Here is a 24,876-nt window from a genome sequence, read left to right on the forward strand (position 1 = left end):
TTGTTATTATTGTCGTCGCTGTAACTGTCTATTTCACTTGCTTTTTTGTTGCCTCCAGCCCATTCCAGGGCTGTCATCTAGGACACTTCTTATCACCTAAATAACCGGGGAGGCAAAGCGCTTTCTTAAGAGATGGATCCAGAAGAACAATGCTGGTTTTCTGTACAAAAAGGGGCTGTGGGAAGTAGAGATAAGAAGGGAATTGGCCAAGATGAATGTACAGAGCCTTATTTTTTTTATAACACAGCAAGATTAGATACAAAACAGGACAATAGCATCATCTGTTTTTATAACTGGAAAGGACCTCACTTTACAGGTGGGGAAGAATAGAGTGGAGAAGTGAAGAGAATGGTCACAGAGTCAATCAGCATGTCTGCGTCAAAGCTGGGATTCCCGATTCAGGGCTCTTACTACAGTGACGTATGGCTAATATTTTGGCATTGTTTCGGGGAAAAGCTGAAGCCCTGATGGTGTACGTCACTCTTGAGATAGTCTGTAGTCCAGCAGGGAGGAAAGCAAGGAAGGGAGGTGGAGGCAGCATTTTTGGGTGTAACATTTCGTTCTTGTTTTGTGGCCAAATCATAGTGTGATTGGGACAAGCCACTGCCTTTCTCTGAGCCTCCACTTTCTTTTTCTTCTTAAGAGGGAGGGAATAGTAGAGTAAAAGTAGTCATTTTATCAAACACCTGCTATTTTGGAGCCATATTGCAAGTGGGTTGGGGGTTGAACAGTTGGCTTTATTACCCATAGGATTAAATCCAACCTCGATACTGTGGCATTCCCAAACTCCAGTCTAATCTTCTTCTCCATCAGCCATGCCCCACGACACCCTGGTCATATCTGATGTTGCCCCTTGCACTTGCCCCCTCCTTATCTTTGCTTTCTGACCTACCATATGGCTATTGGTTGAAATTCTCATTTTCCAGGGCCTTGCTTAAATATCATCTCATCCATTAAAACTTTCTTGAACCTCCCCTTGCCCTGTTCCTCCCTAATGTCTCAAGCCAGAATTTATTTCCTTTTGTGGCCAAGGGACTGGGTTTGTGACCTCTCTCACGAGACTTAATATTGAGACCAAACGTCTTTAGACCTCACCAGCCAGAGAGATGAGCATCTATGGAATGCAGGCTTTTGCCTGGACTTGCTGATGCAGGGCCTCTGCCTTCCTCCAGGGCCTCTCCTGCTGTTTTAGGAATTTCCCTCATGGCACAGTCCATGAGCTCAGGGTCAAGTTCATACATGTTTTTACTTCTTCTACTCTGCAAATGGTCTTCTTGAACTCTGAGGGTCCTAAAGCTGCTCTGCAGTTTGTGGGGTGAGTAGAAAGGGGCTTTCAAAAGTTGTGCTGTTGTTTCCCACCCCAATAGCATGAAACACAAAGATGCTTACAAATAGCTGCCTTGCTTTCTAGTCCCAACTTCTCTCTCCTGAGGCTTTAAAACAAGTCCCCTAGGTTGAGCTGGACTGGAGTTGTATCCTATCTTCATTATCTGTCTACTCTCTTTCTGCTCTCTAGAGAAGATATTATATATGTGTGTATGTATGTGTAAATATATAATATCCATATATAGAACATATATTGTTATATTTACATATACATACATAACATATGCATGTATTCATATATACATATGTAGTATCAAAGTTGGAATTAAACTGTATATTTTGTAATTTGCTTTTATTTGCATCTATCACTGTAAAATGAATATTTATCCATACCGTAAGATATTCTTCAATGTATTTTTTTTTTTTTTGAGACAGGGTCTTGCTTTGTTGCCCAGGCTGGAGTGCAATGACCCGATCTTGGGTCACTGCAGCCTTGACCTCCCCGGCTCAAGTGATCTTCCCACCTTAGCCCTCTGAGTAGCTGGGACTAGAGGTGTGTGCCTCCACACCCAGCTTTTTAATTTTTTTTGTATTTTTTTTTTAGAGACAGGGTTTTGCCACATTGCCCAAGCTGGTCTTGAGCTCCTGGGTCCAAGCAATCCTCCCACTTTGGCCTCCCAAAGTGCTAAGATTACAAGCATGAGCCACCACACCTGGCCTCAATGTAATTTTTAATGGCTGTATAGTATTCCATCATGTGGTTGTACCCAAAATTATTTAACCAGTCCCCAGTTTATTTCAATTTTTTTTTACTATTTTGAATAATGTTTTAGTAAATACCCACAAAATATGTACAATGGCTGGGCTTAGTGGCTCACCCCTGTAATCCCAACACTTTGGGAGTCTGAGGCAGGTGGGTCACCTGAGGTCAGGAGTTCGAGACCATCTTGGTTAACATGGTGAAACCCCGTCTCTACCAAAAATACAAAAATTAGCCGGGTGTGGTGGCACACACCTGTAATCGCAGCTACTTGGGAGGCTGAAGTAGGAAAATCACTTGAACCTAGGAGGCGGAGGTTGCAGTGAGCCGAGATCACACTACTGTACTCCAGCATGGGCAACAGTGAGACTCCATCTCAAAAAAAAAAAAAAAAAAAAAAAAGTACAATTTGTTGTACCTCCCTGATTATTTCTTTTAAGTAGAATTTTCTTATAATTTTTTTTATAAGTAAAATTTTGAATCAAGGGAGAAGCACCTGGAGTCCTTCAGATACCTATTGCCAAACTGAACTTTTCTGTTCCAGGTTTACTACATTCAGCCTGACTCAGGGTTTGGGGAGTAGAGGAGGGGGTGGAGGCAGAGGGCCTCTCCCTGTCCCCACAGACCTCCCTTGGTGAGGTCCAAGTCTGGACAGGTGGAGTGTGGCATTGCACCGTCAGGTCCTGCTTCCTGTAATTCCCCTAAATCCATCCAGTGGAGCCTCATTGTTCAAGTCTTTTTTTTTTTTTTTTTTTTAACTCCCCTGAAGACGGAGTCTCACTCTGTCGCCCAGGCTGGAGTGCAGTGGCACGATCTTGACTCATTTCAACCTCTGCCTCCCAGGTTCAAGTAATTCTCCTGCCTCAGCCTCCTGAGTAGCTGGCACTACAGGCGTGTACCATCACGCCCGGCTAATTTTTTTTTGTATTTTTAGTAGAGACGGGGTTTCACCATGTTGGCCAGGCTGGTCTCGAACTCCTAACCTTGTGATCTACCCGCCTCTGCCTCCCAAAGTGCTGGGCTTACAGGTGTGAGCCACCAGGCCTGGCCTCAAGTCTATTTTTTAACTCCAGGAGGCCTGGTATTCAGAGGGATTAGGGCTGGCAGAAGGGCCTCAAAGCTTTCAAGGCCTGGGGAATAGGCTGCAGCCTGGTTCAGGGTAACCCAAGTGATTTTGGTTCCAAAGGGACAGGAAAAAAAGTGATTGATATGGAAGTTGTCAAAGTGCAACTGTCAAGACATTAAAAAATGTAACCCTTTTACTAATATACAGTAGACTTGTGTTAAATATTTAACTGATTGTAAAAGGAAAAAACCAGACGCAGTTTTCCCTACCATACTGTCACAACACCTCAACACTGAGTTCTTCTGTGACCTCTAGTCACCGAAATGCTTGGGGATTTCTCCCACCACTAGTCCTCCAGCAGCCGACACCAGTTGGGTGTCCTAATTCACTCCAACACTATCTACCTGGAGTTAGCGTTAGATCCCACAGGTTGAGGGCTCAGTCTCACAAGACTGCCTCCCACTTCAGGTGCCAGTTACAAGTGGTAGGTTGTCACCTATGCTTCTGACTGATGGCTATAAATCTGGGTTTGCTTCCCTCGGGTTCCGTGAATTTGCTAGAGCAGCTCACAGAACTCAGGAAAACACTTAAGTTTACCAGTTTATTCTAAAAGATATTACAAAGGATACAGATGAACACCAGATGAAGAGATGCGCAGAGCAAAGCATGTGAGAAGGGGTGTGGAGCTTCCATGCCCCTCTGGGGCACCACCCTCCAGGAACCTTCATGTGTCCAGCTATCTGGGAGCCCTTCCAAACCCTGTCCTTTTTGGGTTTTTAAGAGTGGCTTTATTACGTACACATGATTGACCGAACCATTGGCCATTGGTGACTGACACAACCTTCAGCCCCTCCACTCCCTCCAGTGGTTGGGGAGTGGGGCTAACAGTCTCAAGTCTCCAATCCTGCCTTGGTCTTTCCTGTGACAAACCCCATCATGAAGCTACTGCATTGGGGCTGCCAGCCAGCAGTCATCTATTAGCATGCAAAAGACACTCTTATTATTCCAGAGATTCCAAGGGTTTTTAAAAGCTGTATGTCAGGAAACAGGAGATGAAGAACAAATATATATTTCACAACATCACACTCGTTGGGGGAATTGACAGGATAGCAAAACTGATTAAAGGAGGATAGGAGAGACTGAGATATATATTTCCATATATATATATAGAGAGAGAGAGATATTTCCATATATATATATATAGAGAGAGAGAGAGAGAGAGAGAGAGAGATGATGCAGATATACATATACATATAATCAGTGGAATAAAAAGTGCTGGAATGAGAAGCAAAGTTAGCTGCATGCAGTGGTTTGTGCCTGTAATCCCAGCTATGCAGTAGGCTAAGGTGGGAGAGTCACTTGAGGCCAGGAGTTCAAGACCAGCCTGGGCAACCTAGTGAGACCCTGTCTCAAATTTATTAAAAAATATATATTTTTAAAAGAAGCATAGTTATATACAAATTAGGGCAATAATATTAATTTGTTAAAAAATGAAGCAAAGTTACATACAAAACAGGACAATAATATAACAGTTGGGTTTATCTTTTCTACTGAACAGAAATAATTTTATATTCTGGTGAATAAAAATTACTTGCCACTCATCAATCTTCTGCAAGTTAACAAGTAACTCTACAGAGCCTTGTGTTCAATCAATGGTAAACAGCAAGTCAAACAAAAATACTTTCCTTTACAGAAGGGGTCAGCAAACTATGGCCCATGGGTCAGCTCTGGCCTCTTGCCTGTTTTTGTAATCAAGATTTACTGGAACACAGCCACACTCATTTGTCATGTGTTGTCTGTTGGCTGCTTTCATGTTGTAATGGTGGTTGAGTATTTGTGACAGAGACCTCATGCTCTTCACGCTGAAAAGATTTACTATCTGATCTTTTACAAAAAAAAATTTGTGGACTCCTGCCTGAGAGCATCAGATGCCCCTTGGGCAGGCAGCTTAGACACTAAAAAGGCACACCTACTCTCTTTGCCTTTTCCTCACATTTGGATAATTTTTAACACAGTGTTTTGGCCTTTTCCTTCTTATGTCTGCTGTCATAAGGGCAGTTCTGCCTTAGTCAGTCTAATTGTTTAGACTTTTGTGATGCTAAATCTGTAAAAATGCAGGGATCCAGCCTGGGTGCAGTGCCTCACACTTGTAATCCCAGCACTTTGGGAAGCCGAGGCAGGAGGATCACTTAAGCCCAGGGGTTCTAGACCAGCCTGGGCAACCTGGCAAGACCGTGTCTCTACAAAATAAAAGAAAAAAATTAGCTAGGCATGGTAGCACATACCTGAACTCCCAGCTACTGGGGAGGCTGAGGCAAGAGAATTACTTGAGCCCAGGAGGTTGAGGCTGCAGTGAGCCATGATCATGCCACTGCACTCCAGCATGGAAGACACAAGACCCTGTCTCAGGAAAACAAAAAACAAAAAACAACTAGGGATCTGGGACATGGAGTAGGGATTTTTTTTTTTTTTAATTTAAATCAGAGCAGCCTCCATTCCACAAAATTGAATAAAAGTTCGCTGGGGCAGGGATTTTAACAGGGAGTTTGGAAGAGAAAGGTGGAGACAGCAGTAAGGAAAATGGATATGAGAGAAAAAGAGAATATTAAGAAATGTTGCTTGGACAATGTACAATTTTCATGGAGTTTGTGGAAATAAGCAAAGGATCAGAATTATTTTAAATTGCTTTTTTTTTTTCTTTTTCGGAGCCAGAACGTGTGTGCATGTGTGAATGTGTGTGTAAGTGTGAGCGTGTGGTGGGTGGGTGGATGTTTTCCTGACTGGAACTCAGTGCTGAAACGGGCCTCACAGTTGCTCATCGTCAGGGATACAGAGGATCCAACAAGGATGAAGTACGCAAGGATTGTCAACCTGTGGGGGATGACTGGCCGCACAGCCCCATGAAGACCACCTGGGCAGCTCCTCTCTCAGGCCTTCTGACTTGAAGAATGGCCAGCTCCTGTGGGGTCAATACAAGAATAACTTATGTGCACAGAAAGAATATTTACAATTACTTGAGCTTAAATTTATGTAATTAAATTTATTATAATTATAAATTTAAAAACATAATTTTCTTTTTCTTTTTCTTTTTTTGAGACAGGGTCTCACTTTGTAGCCCCTGCTGGAATGCAGTAGTACAATCTCAGCTCTCACCGCAGCCTTGACCTCCTGGGCTCAGATGATCCTCCCACCTCAGCCTCCCGAGTAGCTGGGACCACAGCTGTGTGCTACCACACCTGACTAATTTTTTTTTTTTTTTTTGAGGCAGAGTCTTGCTGAGTCGCCCAGGCTGGAGTGCAGTGGGACTATCTCAGCTCACTGCAATCTCCGCCTCCCAGGTTCAAGTGATTCCCCTGCCTGAAGCCTCCCGAGTAGCTGGGATTGCAGGTGTCCGCCACCACACCCAGCTAATTTTTTTGTATTTTTAGTAGAGATGGGGTTTCATCGTGTTGACCAGGCTGGTCACGAACTCCTGACCTCAAGTGATCCTCCCGCCTTGGCCTCCCAAAGTGCTGGGATTACAGGCATGAGCCACTGCACCTGGCCTAATTTTTTTATTTTTAGTAAAGATGAGGTCTGTGTTGACCAGACTGGTCTTGAACTCCTGGGCTCAAGCAATCCTCCTGTCTTGGCCTCCCAAAGTGCTGGGATTACAGGTGTGAGCCACCCTGCCTGGCCCCTAAATTTTCTTCATGCTTTAAGTTCAACTTACAAATCTTACTATCCTATTTATAAGGCCTCTTTTTAATACAACAAAGAGAAAAGCCACTTTTCTTTGAATCAGTGTTCAGTTATGCCATTGCTTTACATCACCAACCTAAATCACAAACAGAGAGAGGCTCTCTAAAAGAAAATGATGTTTGTTTGGGAATAGAGCATTGCAACAGGAATATGCACTTCATAGTAAACTCTGTGCATATTCAGGGTAAGTAAAGAAGACAAAGGTTTTTACAGGAAGACAAAAGTTTTCAAAAGAAAAAAAATGAGCATTACATCACTGTTTTGAAATAGTTATGCTGGGCTACTAAGATCAATAACAAAGATATTGCCAGTCTGAGGTTGGACAGGCAGTTGCTGGGCACATGTCCTTTTAAAGTAGTATTTTTTGTGTAAGGTTGCAATGGCCTTTGTGCAAGGTTTTGTTTTTTGCAGAGTCTTTTTCATGATCAGGGATACAAGTGTGAGAACTCTTTCTTCATGGCCTTCCCTGGCTCCATTTATCAGGGTTTTCTTAACATTAGTGTCTCCATTTTGATTTTCACAACTTTAACACCATATTAAATCCTCCTAAATACTTAACTCTCTTTTCTAGCATAGTTAATTGAGTTCCCTTAAATATTTTAAACTACAAATTTGATATATCTGATTCTTTCAAACACTGCAAGTGCCTGCCAAGGCAGACTTAAAAATCTGATGAATAAAATCTTTCTAGCCATCTAAGCAATCCCTAAAACTCCAAAAAAAAAGAAAATTAAAAAAAAATGTAGTAAATCAGACTCAAAATTCACACACCTTTTACAAACTTAACCACATTGTTTTAGACATTTCAAATTAAAATAGAAGTCTAATGTCAATTACACATTTCAAATTGGAATTACAAGGTAATATTTTATATTCTTTAATGTGCAGAATTGTCTCAGACACATTAAATAACAAAGGCATTACCTGGAGGATTCTAAAACAACACTTATTTGTAAACTTAACACAAAAGCGTTGCTGCAATGGGTTTCCTTTAGGTCATCAGCTCTATGCCTTCCCCCTCCCCGCCCCCGGTGTTGTAAAGCCCTGAACTAAGGGGTGCAAATTGCAGTTAACCACTACAGGTGGTTCCTAGGTCAAAGGTTCTGACACTGAGGTTTCTGAGTCAAAGTTTCAAGTACTTGATATGGGCTGTTGGCTAGTGACTCTGAGACAGGATCATTGGTCTACACTAGCCACAGGGTAACACACTGAGTCATTCTCAGAGTTGGGATCAGGCTCCTAAGTCAGCGAGAGGTCCTAAGACTTTTTAGTTGTGAGTTGGTTTTGTAACCACGTCCCATGAATACCTTTTAAATGTCATGCTTACCTATTTTATCTTATCTGCTTTCAACTTTTTCCATCTGATTTATGTAGGTACAATTTTGCACCTCCTATCTGGTTTGTAGTTAATATCTTTTATTGCTTTATCCTACTCAACTAATTTTTTTAGTGCCTGTTTTTTTTTTTTTTAATGTGTGTTGATGACTACAATTCTAAACTCATTCTACTGATTCATGGGTGCTTTAAAATCTGAGCAGTCTTTCGCATTTACTGCCTGTGATGGCCCATCCCACCAGCTAAAGTGTGTGGCCACTGCTTACAGCACCATGTGATAACGAGTAAGGGAGAGATGCCGCCCAGACTCTTCTAGGAGCAGCCAGTAGGACCTTCCAGGGGTTGCAAGCAAACCACAGCAATATGTGGAGTGTGGCAGAGGATGGCCCCAAGAGGATGTGGCAGCGGCTAGTGCAGCTCAGCTTAGTCTGAGAGGAAATGCTGGAGAGGAGAGCCCAGTCTGTACAGGCATGACAGCCACAAGGACTTCAACAGCTAACATGGCTGAGTGGACTTTATGTGCTATCTCATTCAGAAAACAGGAGCAATCAGAAAGGAGTCACCTCCTATTTGTACCCCAGGAATTGCTAACCTACTTGCATCTGAATGATGTCCATCACTTCCCTTCATCACCTCCTCTGGGGGCTCTGCAAGGATTTGACTCCTGCATTAGTGATCTGTCTCACCTACGTTGTGATTCACATGAACTTACTAATGTGCTATGTGACAACTACCATCTTAAACACAAAAACCCTCTTTTGATTCTGTGGCTCCCTCCAGCTACCCCTGCATTTCTCTGTCCCCCTGCCCCGTCTCTGCACTCACTTTTATTTTACAGCAAAACTACTCAAGGGAGTCTCAGTGCTCCTTGGCTCCATGTCTCCACCTTTCATTCTCTCCTCAGTTCACTCCTGTCAGGCTTCCGTCCTCAAGCTCTTCTTCACTTTTGTTCTAGGGCCGCTGACATCCTCTTTCTTGCCAAATTCAGTGGCCAGGTCCTCACTTACTCAACTGCTCAGCATTGTTGGGCCTGGTGGACCACATTCTCCTTCACCCACCTTTTGCTGCTCTCTCTTCTCTCCAGATGTTTCTCTCTTCTCACTGGCTACTCCTCTTTTGTCTCCTTTGTTAGCTCCATTTCTTCCTTCCAACCTCACTGTGCTGGTGTGCCCAGTGCTCAGTTTTTAGCTATTCTCTCTTTTCCAGTGGCATTCATTAGATGGTATCATGTGACCCATGGCATTATATGCCTTCTACATGACAGTTACTCCTGAATATGAATCTCAGGAAAGATTTGCATTTATTTTTAATTAATTTTTTTAAATTTTATTTTAATAAATGAGGTCTCTCTCTGTCATCCAGGCTGGAGTGTAGTATTGAGTGATGTGATTATAGCTCACTGCAGCCTTGAACCATGGGCTCAAGTGATCCTCCTGCCTCAGCTTCCTGAGTACCTGGGACTACAGGCATGTGCCACCATGCCTGGATGACTTTTTGTGTGTGTGTGTGTGTGTGGAGACAGGGTCTTGCTCTATTGCCCAGGCTGATCACAAACTCCTGGCCTCAAGTGATCCTCTCACCTCAGCCTCCCAAAGTGCTGGGATTACAGGTGTGAGACCATCCTGGGCTAAGATTCAGATTTTGTATTCAATTGACTGTTTGACATCTTCACTTGGACACCTAAGAGGTATCTCAAATATTAATTAACTTGGCCAAAATACAGAACTTTTGACCCCTGCCCCCACAATACTTGCCCCTTCCCCAGACTTCTCCATTTCTGTTAAATATCCCCAGTTACTCAACCCTCAAACCTATGAATGCCCTTTGATTTCTTTCTTTCCCTCATCTCCTACGTTGACGCCATCAGCTAGTTCTGTTGCCTTTATGCCCAGAATATAATCCTCACCACCTTCTCTCCTATTGCCCGAGTCTAAGATGTCAGTCTCTCCTGCACAGTCCATTGCCCTGACCTCCTGAGTGGTCTGCTTCCACTTTTGACATTTCTACTCCTCCTTCCCCCAGGGTCAATTTTTCACAGCAAGAGTGGCATTTTTTTTTTTTTTTTTTTTGAGACGGAGTCTCGCTCTGTCGCCCAGGCCGGACTGCGGACTGCAGTGGCGCAATCTCGGCTCACTGCAAGCTCCGCCTCCCGGGTTCACGCCATTCTCCTGCCTCAGCCTCCCGAGTAGCTGGGACTACAGGCGCCCGCCACCGCGCCCGGCTAATTTTTTGTATTTTTAGTAGAGACGGGGTTTCACCTTGTTAGCCAGGATGGTCTCGATCTCCTGACCTCATGATCCACCCGCCTCGGCCTCCCAAAGTGCTGGGATTACAGGCGTGAGCCACCGCGCCCGGCCAAGAGTGGCATTTTTAAAACCATATATTAGATCATCGCTTTTGTGTTTGGGAACCTCCAAGGGCTTTGCATCATATATCAAGTTGACACCTCTCCTACCCAAGCCTGGCTCTTTCCTGCTCCTCTGTCCTCTCAGCCCCTCCACCCATTGTTCATGCTGCTTCAGCCACACTGGCCTTCTTGCCATGCCACATTTGTGCTAAGCCCACATCCAATCTCGGGGCCTTTGCACTCGCATTTCCTCTGCTTGGCATGCTGTACCCCAGATCTTTCATGATTGGCAGCTTCTGTACATTCAGCCACCTGCTCAAGCCACCCTTTCAGAGGGCCTTCCCTGGCCACCTCACCTGAAATAGCACCTCCGATTGCACCCATCCGGTTATTCTCCATCCTGTTCTCTTGCTTGGTGATTTTCCATCACTGATGAGGAAATGAACCATGGAATGCTAGGGCTGATGACCAGAACTTTCCCCCACCCCCACATTATTACAGAGGAGGAAATGAGGTCGGAGGTAAGATGGGCCCAGGATTTCTACTCCCGCCTGGACTGCAGGCACAGCACTGACCTCAGCTGTGCTCACTCTTGGCATTCACCCAACCCTTCTATCTCCAACTGCCCCATTTACCAGAAAGTGAAATGTTCTCAGAGACGGTGAGCCACCTGACTTGGACAGCAGCCCAGGGCCCCTGGCACCCTGCTTTCTTCCTCCCTGCCATCCTTTCCTCTCCAAGACCTACCTTTCCCTGTGATTCTTGCCCACATGCTGCATTTCATGGTTTTATGACCTGATTTCTGAGAGGGATTTGAATTTTCATGATTATTTATGTAAGCAAATCATTATGCTTATACAAATGAGAAAAGGAGTGCTTCTGGACTTCCCAGGGACAAAATCTTGTCACTTGGCTTGCTTTCATATTGCTAATTAAGGACCCAGGATGTGGGTGAGATGTGCTAAAAGCTGAGAGGAGGCTCTGGACTCTGACTATGGGCCCACACCCCTGGGCAGGCATCACACTAGTCCTTTAGGTCATCCTCAACCCAGCTTCCAGTTGAATCAGATGTTTGTGAATAACTCAGCAAGGCTGTATGGGAAATGAAGAATGAGGTGGGGAAGAGGCCTGTGCAGAAGACACACTGACTTACCCCTCTACCTCTAACTAGGGTGTTGTAGCAGCCACCCACCCACCAAGTCTGTCTTCCAGACCACGTATGCTTTCCTCCACCTTTGCATCTTTTATCTTCTGCCAGCCCAGATGCTTGCTGACTCCAGCCCAAGCCTATAGGATAAGCCACAGCCTGTCCCTACAGACTACGCATTGCAGAATCTAAGACATCAAGTCAAGTTCGGAAGCACTTGCCTTCTCCTCTCCAGGTACACAGGCTCTCCTGGAAAGCTGGTAGCAGCTGTGGAGGTGTGGTGTGTTACCTGCTGCAGGTGCAGAGAAGTTGACTTCACAGCCCTTCAGAAAGACTGCCTTCTTCCAGTTGTATTTGTGTACTTGCTTGGGTGTGGGGAGGATTCTCAGCTTTCTCCACTCAAATTATCAGACCCTTTCCATTTAGTGGTAGACCATTTCCCTCGTCCAGGCCAAGGGCACATAGTACAGAGAAATAGGGAGTTGTTACCCAGGGAGAGAACTTGGCTCTAAACCTGTAATAGAAAGGTCAGTTCTGGTCTGGAGGGTCAATTTTGATCTTTGGCTCAGATCCAGGAATTGGAACCAAGGCTTTTGAACATTTTAATGCAGGGGATTAAAAAAATGATACGAGTCATTCACGAATATATTTGCTTAACATCTAAAGAGATCCCTCAAAACACTAGAAAAAATAAGAACAAAAATCTAATAAAACAAAATTTGTTAAACACATTTACCAAATTTTTTTTTTTGGTAAAAATTCAAATGTCATAAATAAAGCTAAAGTTCCTCTTGATGACTCGCTCCTCTGCCCTATTCCACTCCAAGTAACCACTATTATCAGTCTTGCCAATACCCTTCCAGACCTCTCTACCTCTATATACCATTAGAAGCACATGGTTTTGCATTGAGGATGTGCAGTGTTTTGTTTTACGTAAATGTTATCACTCTGTTCTTGTTCCATAATTTGCCTTTTTCTCTCAATGATTTGCTTGGCTATCTTTCTATTTCAGTAGCATCTCCTTTCTTTTTAACTTACCATTGTTTATTTAACCTTGCCTCTATCAACAGATATGTAGGTTGTTTCTAGTTGATTTCATTAAGTATTTATAAACAACGCATCAGTAGATGTCCATAAATTTCTTTACGGAAGATGGCAAGTAGTGGAATTGCTGAGCCAAAGAACATGTTTAAAAAACCCAAAAAAACTAGACGCTACCAATTTTCTCTCCAAAATGGCCATACCCACTTACCCATACAGAGATGATTTGGAATCTGGCTTCCTCACAAGGTGAGATGCCTTCACAGTTTCATTCTTCCTGGCATGTCTTCCCTTTTGTATCTGAGAGAGCTGGCAGAATTGTGTCACTAAATCAAGGATAGAGGGTCAAATGACAGCTCAAGCTCACAGGCACCTCTGCTTTCTTCCCAGACCACCTGCTTTCCTGCCACCAGCTCTGTTCCATCTTATAGAATGGTTGCCACTTGGGTGTCTGCTCCGACAGCCATGTCATCCTTTGCACTGCAGTTATGAAGCAGACAGAGCTAGGAGAGGGGCTTTGCCAGCCTCTGCCCTAGCTTGGAGAACTTCAAAGAAGGAGGGTATTGAGAGTGAGCTGCCGAAGACTGGCAGCTCCCTCAACTCAACAGTTGTCCTTCCACAAGAAGTCAGATACATTTTTTTGGGATAAAATATTTAAAAATTATTATTTTATTTCTGAATAATATATTTACATGATTCAAAAATCAAACTGTAGGCCAGGCATGGCTGCTTATGCCTGTAATCCTAGCAATTTAGGAGGCCGAGGCGGGAGGATCACTTCAGCCCAGGAGTTCAAGACCAGCCTGGGTAACATAGTGAGACCCTGTATCTACAAAAATTTAAAAACAAAAATTAGTTGGGCATGGTGGCTGATATGGTTTGGCTCTGTGACCCAACTCAAACCTCATGTTGAATTTTAATCCTCAATGTTGAGGGAGGGTCCTGGTGGGAGGTGATTGGATCATGGGGGTGGGTTCTCCCTTGCTGTTCTCATGATAGTGAGTGAGTTCTCACAAGACCTGGTTATTTGAAAGTGTGTAGCACCTCCCCCTTCACTCTCTCACTCTCCTGCTCCGCCATAGTAAGACGTGTGTGTTTCCCCTTTGCCTTCCGCCATGATTGTAAGTTTCCTGAAGCCTCCCAGCTATGCTTCCTGTACAGCCTGTAGAACTGTGAATCAGTTAGACCTCTTTTCTTCATAAATTACCCAGTCTCAGGTCATTCTTTATAGCAGTGTGAGAGTGGATGAATATAGTGCCATATGTTTGTATTCCCAGCTACCCAGGAGGCTGAGGTAAGAGGATTGCTTGAGCCTGGGAGTTTAAGGCTGCAGTGAGCCATGACTGTACCACTGCTCTCCAGCCTGGGTGACAGCGAGACCTTGTCTCCAAAAAAAAAAAACCCAAACTGTGTAAAATGTGTTCATAAAAGTGTCTTGCTCCCACACCTGTCCCTATATATCTTATTCCTCAGCCTCTGACAACTACTTTATTCATTTCTTATGTATCTTCCAGAATCAAAAAAAAAAATCAAATACAAGCACAGTGGAATGTATTGCCCTTCTTCCCCTCCCTTTTGTTACATCAGAGTTAGCATATCATAAATACGGTCTGCATTTTCTTCTTTTTCAGCTATCAGCATGTTTTGGAGAGGATTTCATATTCGTGCAGACAGCATGTATTAGTCAGTCCTTGCATTGCTATAAGGAAATACCTGAGACTGCATAATTTATAAAGAAAAGAGGTTTAATTGGCTCACAGCTTCGCAGGCTGTTCCACAGGAAGCATGGCAGCATCTGCTTCTGGGGAGGCCTTAGGAAGCTTTTACTCATGCAGAAGACAAAGCGGGAGTGGATGTCTTATATGGCAGGAGCAGGACTGAGAGAGAGAGAGAGAGAGAGAAAGGATGCCACATACTTTTAAACAACCAGATCTTGTGGGAACTCTGTCACGAGAACAGCACCAAAGGGATAGTGCTAAACCATTCATAAGAACTCCACCCCCATGATCCAATCACCCCACACCAGGCCCCACCTCCAACATCGGGGATTACAATTTGACATGAGATTTGGGCTGGGACACAGAACCAAACAATACCAGAGTGCTTTCTCATTCTTTTCTATAGCTGCCTAGTATTCTATGTCCTTTACTTCATTTAGGCAGTCTCTTGTTGATAGACACTTGGGTTACTTCCAATTTTTCCTATTACAAATGATGTGCAATGAATAATTTTGATCATTTTCCATTTCACATGGGTTATGTCCATCTGTGGGATAAATCTCCAGGAGTGAAATTGCTGGATCAAAGGGGAAGTGCACTTGTGATTTTCATAGTTAGCAAATTTTGTTCTATAAGGGTCATATCAATTTATAGTCCCACGCGTAATATTTAACAGTGGGGATTTCCCGACAGTTTGACCAACAAGGTCTGTTGTTAAACTTTTGATTTTTGTCAATCTGATGGGAAAATACTAGTATCTCAAAGTGCTTTTAATTTGACTTTCTTATTACAATGTTAAGCATCATTTTACTCTGCCCAAGATCAAATAGTATTTTCTTTTCTGTGAACAGACTGTTAAGATCCCTTGCCTCTTGTTTTGCTGGATTTTTGTTCTTTTTTTTCAAATGTTTTGAGGCAGTTCTTTACATGTGAAACAAGTTATCTCTTTATCTGGGGTGTGAGTTACAACTACTTTTCCTCTGGCTTGTTTTGCGCTTTGACTTTGCTTCTGGTGATTCCCGCAATTCTGAAAGTGTACTTTTTGCATCATTCATTCTTATACACCCATGCTCTTGTTCACACTGGTTCCTCTACCTGAGGGCTTTTTCTTTTCTTTTCTATCTGGGAACATTTTTTAGAGACAGGGTCTCACTCTGTCACCCAGGCTGGAGTGCAATGGTGCGATCACAGCTCACTGCAGTCTTGAACTTCTGGGCTCAAGCAATCCTCCAGTGTCAGCTTCCCAAGTAGCTAGGACTACAGGTGCATGCCAGCATGCCTGGCTGATTGTTTTATTTATTTATTTATTTTTTGTAGAGATGGGAGTCTCACTATGTTGCCCAGGCTGGTCTTGAACTCCTGGGCTCAAGCGATCTTTCTGCCCCTGCCACCCAAAGTGCTGGGATTACAGGCGTAAGCCACCATGCCCAGCCCATGTGTGGAAATCTTCTGTTTATCCCTTTAGGCTTGATTCTTATGTCGTTCTCCTCCCTCCTTCCTGGCTACTCCTCTTGTTCTTTATCTTACTCTACTTGTCATGTTACCTTGTTTCTGCTTATAACTAGCTGCCTCTCCTATCTGAGGAGGGACTTGTGACTGTTCTCATCTCTGTACTCCCAGCTCCTAGTACATAGCGCTTGCTCAACAGATGTTTGGTGCATTGATAGATAAATCACTGGTAGCTGTTACTACCAGTCCTGACTCCCTGCAGTGCTTCAGCTGATCCTGTTCCAAATGTGCACTGAATATCCTTCTGTTGAACAACAGAAATAAAGGGGATGGGTGAGGAGGATAGTCTTCGGTGGCCAAGGATATTTCTAGGTACTTTGCAGCACTCAGCAATGAGGAGTGGGCTTTAGTCCCCCAAGAACTCTCACAGCCCTGTTTGTCTTTACTGTTCAGTGTCAAATCCAAGACAAGTCAATGATCAGGAAAGACCCTTTTTTTTTCTTCAGTGAAGTTTATTTCAGAACCATTGAACAGTATGATATTTGCTCATTTATAAATATTCCCATTTAAATAATCTGAGCTTATATATTTTCAGTCTTAATTAAAGGACTTGATTTAAAGAGAGCACACCAGTCCAAATTGAATTGATTCCATAGCTATTAAAAACTAGGCTCTTTTACAGACACTGCTACTTCTTGCCCCCTTTGAATAAATTAGACCAATGAATAAAACAAACAAACAAATAAATAAATAAATAGGGAAGCGGTTGCTCATCAGAATGTGGGAGCGAATGACAGAGGGTTTCTTAGAACCAAATGTGGCCGTGGTTTCTGTCAGGCGGGCTTTAAGTGAGTAGGAGAGGTGAGAGAGGCCTGGCTCAACAAAAGGGCTGGGGATTGGCCCTGAAAGGAGAGAGCTGACTGTCCTGGCTGATGGACAGGAGATCCTCTTAGCACTACCCTAAGGCAGGCAGTTGGGCATTGGTGTAGACAACAGGAAAGTCCAGGCTATAGCCGTACTCAAAAACCTTTCTGTTCCCTTTCTGCCAGCCCTAGGGATTGAGTCCACATTCAGCACAGGACTCTCTGGGTACAGCTCTCTTTAGGAAGACACAAATTGCATGGTGAAGTCAGTTATATCCTGGCCGCCTTTGGTCCCTCCCAGGAAGACGGGCATGTTTTCTGCTTGAGAGGTGCTGATGTACCAGTTGGGGAACTGGGCAGACTCAAATTCCAGCTTGTTATTGATTTCTATCTTGTTGAAGACAAATCGCTTTTCCATCTTCTTCTTTGGGTAATTTTTGGGATCTACACTCTGCAGCGAAAGAGAAAGAAGAATTTTTGTGGGGCAAGGGACAAAGATGCTATGGGAAAGATGTTCTTTGGGTTGGCCAGAAAGGAAACTGACGAGCAGGTCACATGATCAGGAGCCAGACTCCTGAGTTGTAACTGGGCCCCCAACTTTCCGTGTGATTATTAAAAGAGCCCTTCTTCTTTTCTAAAACTTAGTGCCAAATGCTGAGGAGCATAATGTAGGTGAGAATTTTTTTTTTTTGGGGGGGTGAAAATTAAGCTAGAGCTTCTTGAAGTACCTAGTTTCCAGGGGCTTTTTATTGTATTTTTCCTTATGGTCCTAGAATGACATCAACTTGGAAATGAAGCTTTTGCTGAGAAAGCTGGAGGTGATAGTGGTGGTAATTTTGGGAGTGGAGTGGACATGATAATGGGACCCTTTAAGTCATCTATTTCCCAAGGTGTCTATCAAATGAGAGCAGCCCTAACAATATATAATCTGTTGGGGTTGTAACTATGGTAGGACATAATAACATCGGCAAAATGATTTAATTTTCTGCAGCAGGATTGAAGGTTGCACGCAGTTAAAAATTATGTTAAATTTATTTACATTAATGCAAAATTGTCAAATAGACCTGTTCCCAGCTTTTCCTAGGGATGGGGGCGGGGAGAAGGTGGTTGTCTGGGAATAAGTGGTAGCAGGAGGCTGAGAAGGGCTTCATTCCATAGCATTCACTTACCTCCAGCTGTAGAGTGGGCTTATCATCTTTCAACACGCAGGACAGGTACAGATTCTTTTCCTTGAGGCCCAAGGCCACAGGTATTTTGTCATTACTTTCTTCTCCTTGTACAAAGGACATGGAGAACACCACTGAAGAAAGAAGGGGGTCTTGTGGTTAGGGACACAGCAGTGCAGGGTCACCCCAACCCCTAGGCCCCATGAGTAGGATACATGTAATTTGGTAGCCTCTGTGGGAACCCACAGTGAGGTTCCTTGGCCTAAGACACAGGATAACTTGACTTCTCACAGACAATAGCAGGGTCATTTTGTTGATTTAGGGTTTCCCCTCAAAGGCCTGAGGGTTTCTCAGAGCCTCATAGCAGTAGGAACGGAGAATGAAAGAGGGTCTACATTTTAAATGCTGAAGGAAGGAAGGAAGGAAGCCATTGTGTCACTGGCTGGCAATGTGCCCATCCACAGGAGCGGAACAACTTGATCAATGTGGAAGGAAAGGAAAGAGGTGAAGCTGTACTTCTGCCAGAAATCAGGCACCAGAACTGTTTCAGGAACAGAGAGTAGCCCATGGGAAGAAACTGGGAGAGGAGAGGCTGAGCTGGGAAAGTGGCTCCAAAGAGAGACACTCATTTTGATCTTCCTCAGTCACAGCAGTGTCAATTGGAGGCCCTGGGATCACTCTTACTACCCGATTCCAAAGAAACAGGATTTTCTTGGCCTGGCTGAGAGCAAATAGCTTCCCCCTGAGTGAGGCTGTCCTTCAAAGTCAGCAGCCTTAGTTGCCCACACTCCTGTGCAGAGGCTTTGGCTACTGTGGCACGATGCCAGGCAGATCACCACAGCTAATGATGGGTTCACCGCACTTGAAACTTTTGCCCGTTACAGCGGAGAGATATAAGTTCCTGCTGGGCGGTAAAATTTCCCTACAAGGAACCACCTGGCATTGGGTGGGACGGATGTTGGGGCAAGGGGGGAAGACTGGGGAGGGGGATGGACACATTATCGCTCCAGCACTCTTGTTTCAGCCTCAACAACAGGAAGAGAGAACCCACAGGCAGTTAGGCCATGTCCATCAAATGACCCCATATTGTGGAAGAATTGACATTGCACTATGCCCAAGAGACTTGGGTGGACATGGTCCTGGGAGTGCTTGAGCCGTCTAATTTCTCAGGGTCACACTCCTGTTAACAAATGCACTGGCCAGTGCAATCAAATGTGCCATTTCTAGGACCAAAGTTTGTATATTCCTTTTTAATATTTTTTTTCACTTGTGTTGATCATTTGCCTTAAATTAACTTTCTACTTTGTTTAAAACATGGAGAATTAGCAAGCTGCCAGGAGGCCAGGCAGGGAAACCAGGATGTTTCCATTTACCTTGTTGCTCCATATCCTGTCCCTGGAGGTGGAGAGCTTTCAGTTCATATGGACCAGACATCACCAAGCTTTTTTGCTGTGAGTCCCGGAGCGTGCAGTTCAGTGATCGTACAGGTGCATCGTGCACATAAGCCTCGTTATCCCATGTGTCGAAGAAGATAGGTTCTGAAATGTGGAGCACATGTTGTTTAGGTATAAAATCAGAAGGGCAGGCCTCGTGAGGCGAGGCGGCAAAATTTGATTTCTTGGAGGACACCTGAGCATATACGGTCAAAGTCTGATGACAACACCAGTAGGGATGAAGCTGGGAGTGGGGTGGCTAAGAACACTGGACCTGACACTATTAGACATGGGTTCCAGCTTCAGGTCTATTACTGCTCACTGTGGCCGAGCAACAGAGCTACTTAGGTAAAATGGTGATGGTCATAACACTAGCCCACAGGGAGGTTACGAACCTCTGGTGACAATGTAAGTGAAAGGCCCCTGAGAAAGAGTGAGGGAGTTGCAAATGTCAGTAGCCATCAAGATCTTCTTTAAGAATAGTTTCCACTAAAGAGATGATTGCTTTGGTTTCCAGCCTTCTTTGTTTTGTCTCCCCGCTGGGCCTTCTACCTTTAAAGGGCTTTGGCTCTGGGGGAATTGAGTTGGCTGGGGCTTGATGACTTCCAAGAGGACACAAGTGGAGATCTACTGCCTGCTCTTGGCTAACTACCTTCTTCAAAGATGAAGGGAAAGAAGGTGCTCAGGTCATTCTCCTGGAAGGTCTGTGGGCAGGGAACCAGCATCTTCCTCAGCTTGTCCATGGCCACAACAACTGACGCGGCCTGCCTGAAGCCCTTGCTGTAGTGGTGGTCGGAGATTCGTAGCTGGATGCCGCCATCCAGAGGGCAGAGGTCCAGGTCCTGGAAGGAGCACTGCGGAGAGAGCGAGGGAGGGAGCCTGGTGAGGTGGTCCTGCCAGGAACCATGCTTTGACATCAGAGAGTAGAAAGCTCAGAGAGGAGGAAAGGGCTTGAAAGAATCCCGAGCTTCTAAAGATCATCCCTCTCTGGGCCAGGCGTGGTGGCTCATGCCTGTAATCCCAGCACTTTGGGAAGCCGAGGTGGATGAATCATTTAGGTCAGGACTTCAAAACCAGCCTGGCCAACATGGCGAAACCCCTTCTCTACTAAAAATACAAAAATTAGCTGGGTGTGGTGGGGTGCACCTGTAATCCTAGCTATTCAGGAGACTGAGGAAGGAGAATCGCTTGAACTCAGGAGGTGGAGGATGCAGTAAGCCAAGATTGTACCACTGCACTCCAGCCTGGGCAACAGAGTGAGACTCTGTCTCATAAAACAAAACAAAACAAAACAAAACAAAATAAAATAAAATAAAATAAAAAGATTATCCCTCTCTGAAGCTCAAGGAGGTTAAGTGTGTACTCAAGGGCACACAGCAGGTTAGAGGCAGACTCAAGACTAGAATGTGGGCTTTCTGACACCTTACAGGCTATTCTTTTAGAATAAATCCCATTTCTACTTTGTTCATCTTTTTTGTACATGCCCCACCTACACCATACATGTATACCTTCTCTATATCTTTTTGTATCCCTAATGCTGTCACACTATGATTTGCTTTTTCATGCAGATGACCATAACATTTTCCATTCACCTATGCTCACTCAGCAAGTATTCAATTTTTCTACACTGTTCTTTTTTTTCCTTTTTCATAACACTGTCTCATAGGCATTCTGCAAATCCTGTGAGAGTACTTTTTGTGAAATGTTACCACTTTCCTCTTATTCAGAGAAGCTCCGTATTAAGGCTTCACTGAGGTTGCCTTAAGGCATGATAATGGTTCAAAGGCTTGAAAGACAGTTAAAGAGACCTGTAAGTGCACAAAAGAAAGTTGAGCAGGAGAGAATTTCCTGCCTGGAGCAGAGCCAAGCTGCTGGAAGAGGCAATGGGGGCAAAGGCCAGGCAGACAAGCCAATGGGCTCCTCCCACAGCTGCAGCCAACAAGTTATGCCAGTCTTAAAACTTCTAAAGAAATATGTTTTTAACAAGATTGAGGACTGGATTATGAGGCTAGGGGAGGCTATCACAAACTGGAATAAAATAAAGCCAGAGAAAAGTGGCTGCCTCCCAACCTGCACAACTGACCTAGCTAGGCTGATGGCTGGGCCACCTAGGAAGGCTACTGAGCATCATATAAAACAGAAGGGACAGCAGGAATATAACATGGCTCTTTGTAAGGATGAGTCTGAAAAATGACCATTTGCTGCCCAAATGCCCTTAGCTACAACTGAAAATATTTCAGAACTGGAGGTTGCAGGATGCTGGAATCTCAGAGATCATCCAGCTCAGCCCTTTATTTTTCAGATGAGGTCCAAAGCGGGTAAAATGACTTGTCAAGGTCAAACAGCAAGTGAATGGTTTTCTTTCAAGTCTCAATTCATCTTTTTGTTTATATCATCTATGTCTTGTTGTTATAAGCTTCACCCCAGGTAGCAAAAAACTATTCTACTCAAAAGGGGTAGACATATGTTAGTTCTCAAGATCATCTCTTGGTTTCAGAGTTTAACTCAAGTGATTGGCATAGGCTGAATCCATCTCTTAAAAGGATAATCAAATTTATGTTGAAGACTTGGTTGTCTTCCTACTATGAAATGGGAAACATTATCACTACTCCTCCCCTGTCACCACCAAGTGTGGCCACCACCACCAACGTTAGTGAGTGACTGTGGTGATATGATGACCAAGTGGCCAGGTCAGCAAGTGGTGCAGCCTGTGTCTCACTGGAAGAGGTTAAAGTCTTTCTAAAACAAAATACCATGGCATCAAAGTGGCCCAGAACTCCCTTCTTTGAGCTTTCCCTGTGTTAGAGCCCTTCCTTGGGTTGGGAGTTAAACCCATAGTCTTACCTTCATCTGTTTAGGGCCATCAGCTTCAAAGAACAAGTCATCCTCATTGCCACTGTAATAAAAACAGGGACATGTCTCAATTATGTCTTCTAAACAGGTTTATTTTTCCTTCCCTGTGTACAAGACTTGACTGTTCATAAGAAACTGCAAACAGCCTGCCTCTCAAAGCTGCCTGAAACACCTGGCAAGTTTCACAGTGATATGCGCAGAACAGTCCAGAAGGCAGATTCTAGGCCTGGCAGGTGGGCACCCTGGGTGCTCCCTGTTGGATCTTGAGGCCTAACCTCTAGCCCAGCAGAGTCAGCTAAAATCTGAGCTCTCCCTCTCCCTCCAAGCCACACTTTGCAAAGGGATTCCTTGTATTGTGGGCTTGGAGTCTTTTCTCCCCATTTGCCTCTGCAGGAAGCCCTTGCAACAACACATCTGGATAGCCTCCAGGTCCCAAGGCTGGAGGGACTTGTAATGGGAAAGTAGTCTTTAAATCAGATTTACTTGGCACCCTGTTTGCCACTGAAAGAGGCAATTTAGGGGAAAAATCTGGTCTCCAAGCACAGATAACACTCTACTCTTGAAAGAGGAGACCTGCTCATGTTACTGGTCTCAGCGTCTCCACTGACCTGTAATAAGCCATCATTTCACTGGCGAGCTCAGGTACTTCTGCCATGGCTGCTTCAGACACCTGTGTAAAAAGGAGAAAATGAGTGACTTCCCCATGACGGCTACGTTCATGTGTGATTTCTCTCAGCATCCAGTGCATGGCAGTCATGCAAAGAAATGATCTCTGAGTAAATGAATGAATGTGTGAAAGAGAAGTCCTTTGGGTCTAGAGAAAAGCATTTGCTAAACCAAACCCCAACTAGCAATGTATTGGCTAGGAGAGCTGGAGCAGAGGCTTTGACACTAACCTTTAGGGTGTCAGCTGTTAGATAAGCAGTATCCATTCCCAGAATATTTCCCGAGTCATAAGCATTATATTACACCTGGCATTTTTGCAAAAAGCTGAGAGAGGGAGGCAGAGAGGGAAGGAGAGGGAGAGACAGAGAAAGAAAGAGAGAGAGAGAGAGAATATGCATACACACAAAGAGGCAGAGAGACAGAGAGACTCCCTTAGCACCTAGTTGTAAGGAAGATTAAAGTCATACTTGAGCAATGAAGATTGGCTGAAGAGAATCCCAGAGCAGCCTGTTGTGCCTTGTGCCTCGAAGAGGTTTGGTATCTGCCAGTTTCTCCCTCGCTGTTTTTATGGCTTTCAAAAGCAGAAGTAGGAGGCTGAGAAATTTCTCTGTTGAATACCTGATTTCACAATCAAGTTAAAGGAAAGGGGAAAAGAGTATTGGTGGAAGCTTCTTAGGGGAGGGGACTAATAAACTGAGATAATTCTCTGGTTCATGGAAGGGCAAGGAGTAGCAAACTATGACACATTTTGCAAATGTATCACCATGCAAATATGCATTGTTTTCCTGACAATCGTTGTGCAGTTGATGTCCACATTAAAATACTGGATTTTCCCACGTTAGAAGAATGTTTAAATTTAGTATATGTGGGACAAAGTGGAAGACACACAGATTTATACATGCACATACTTTTCTTCATTCACTTCTTTGTACTTAAGTTTAGGAATCTTCCCACTTACAGATGGATAAATGGGTACAATGAAGGGCCAATAGCCCTCCCTGTCTGTATTGAGGGTGTGGGTCTCTACCTTGGGTGCTGTTCTCTGCCTCAGGAGCTCTCTGTCAATTGCAGGAGCCTCTGAGGAGAAAATTGACCTTTCTTGGCTGGGGCAGAGAACATACGGTATGCAGGGTTCAGGCTCCTGACGGAGTTGGGGCAACCCTGGAGATAAGCTCACACAACCCTGCAAGACCAGGTGCTGTTACCCTAGCCAATCTCATGGATGAACCAGATCAATGCCAGATGAGCTCTGCCTAAAATGATTTTTTGGTGAACTCTGAAAAGTGGAATATTGTTTCTGTAAGAATATCCATCTGAGACTCTATCTCTTGGTAATACCAACCAAGAGTTATCAGTTTCTCTTTAACCGAGACACCAGCAAAGTGCCTGCTCCAGGGTACTGCCCAGGGGAGCCCTCCATTTGTAGAATGAATGAGAGTCCAGGTTATGAACAGTGCCTGGAGTGTAGGAACACCCTCCTTTGCCTCTTTGACAGGTCTGCATCATAACACTTTTTTTTTTTTTTTGAGACAGAGTCTCACTCTGTCGCCCAGGCTGGAGTGCAGTGGCACGATCTCGGCCCCCTGCAAGTTCCGCCTCCCGGGTTCACACCATTCTCCTGCCTCAGCCTCCCCAGCAGCTGGGACTACAGGCACCTGCCGCCACGCCCGGCTAATTTTTTGTATTTTTAGTAGAGACAGGGTTTCACCATGTTAGCCAGGATGGTCTCGATCTCCTGACCTTGTGATCTGCCCGCCTCGGCCTCCCAAAGTGTTGGGATTACAGGCGTGAGCCACCGTGTCCAGCCTGTAACACTTCTTATAGCACTGAGTTGAAACCTTGCTCCTCCTGGTTCCTCCAGGAAACTGAAATCTTTTTGAGCCAAGTCTAGCACAGTGCCTGGCATGTACATTCAGGTGGTAGAGTTTGCTGCTTGAATGGGTGAATGGGAATTTGACAGCATTT

At 44.4% G+C, this 24,876-nt stretch overlaps 1 protein-coding gene and 1 long non-coding RNA gene across 3 annotated transcripts, besides 1 other annotated feature; both read right to left on the reverse strand.

Moving 5' to 3' along the window:
- Positions 1–3,739: 3,739 nt before the first annotated feature.
- LOC124907871 (uncharacterized) lies at positions 3,740–11,150 on the reverse strand. The gene is made up of 2 exons (XR_007087195.1): positions 10,932–11,150; positions 3,740–6,111 (listed from the first exon to the last, which is right to left on the reverse strand). It is a non-coding gene; the product is annotated as an uncharacterized LOC124907871 (long non-coding RNA).
- Positions 4,743–5,037: an enhancer, noted in NCBI's record as "tiled region #10273; HepG2 Activating DNase matched - State 5:Enh". NCBI's record gives its function as "activates a minimal TATA promoter and a strong SV40 promoter by Sharpr-MPRA in HepG2 cells {active_cell/tissue: HepG2}" and the evidence as "EXISTENCE:reporter gene assay evidence [ECO:0000049][PMID:27701403]".
- On the reverse strand, positions 16,422–23,450 carry IL1B (interleukin 1 beta). 2 transcript variants are annotated; one of them, NM_000576.3, is made up of 7 exons: positions 23,379–23,450; positions 22,854–22,915; positions 22,237–22,288; positions 20,045–20,246; positions 19,333–19,497; positions 17,963–18,093; positions 16,422–17,244 (listed from the first exon to the last, which is right to left on the reverse strand). In NM_000576.3, exons 2-7 carry the CDS (start codon positions 22,898–22,900, stop codon positions 17,032–17,034), a joined length of 810 nt encoding a protein of 269 aa, NP_000567.1. In that variant the 5' UTR covers positions 22,901–22,915; positions 23,379–23,450; the 3' UTR covers positions 16,422–17,031. The 2 variants fall into 2 exon arrangements, with proteins under 2 accessions (NP_000567.1, XP_047300131.1); XM_047444175.1 differs by lacking the exons at positions 20,045–20,246; positions 22,237–22,288; positions 22,854–22,915; positions 23,379–23,450 and adding an exon at positions 19,788–20,012.

This window comes from Homo sapiens, chromosome 2 (assembly GCF_000001405.40).
Source record: "Homo sapiens chromosome 2, GRCh38.p14 Primary Assembly".
NCBI classification, from domain to species: domain Eukaryota; kingdom Metazoa; phylum Chordata; class Mammalia; order Primates; family Hominidae; genus Homo; species Homo sapiens.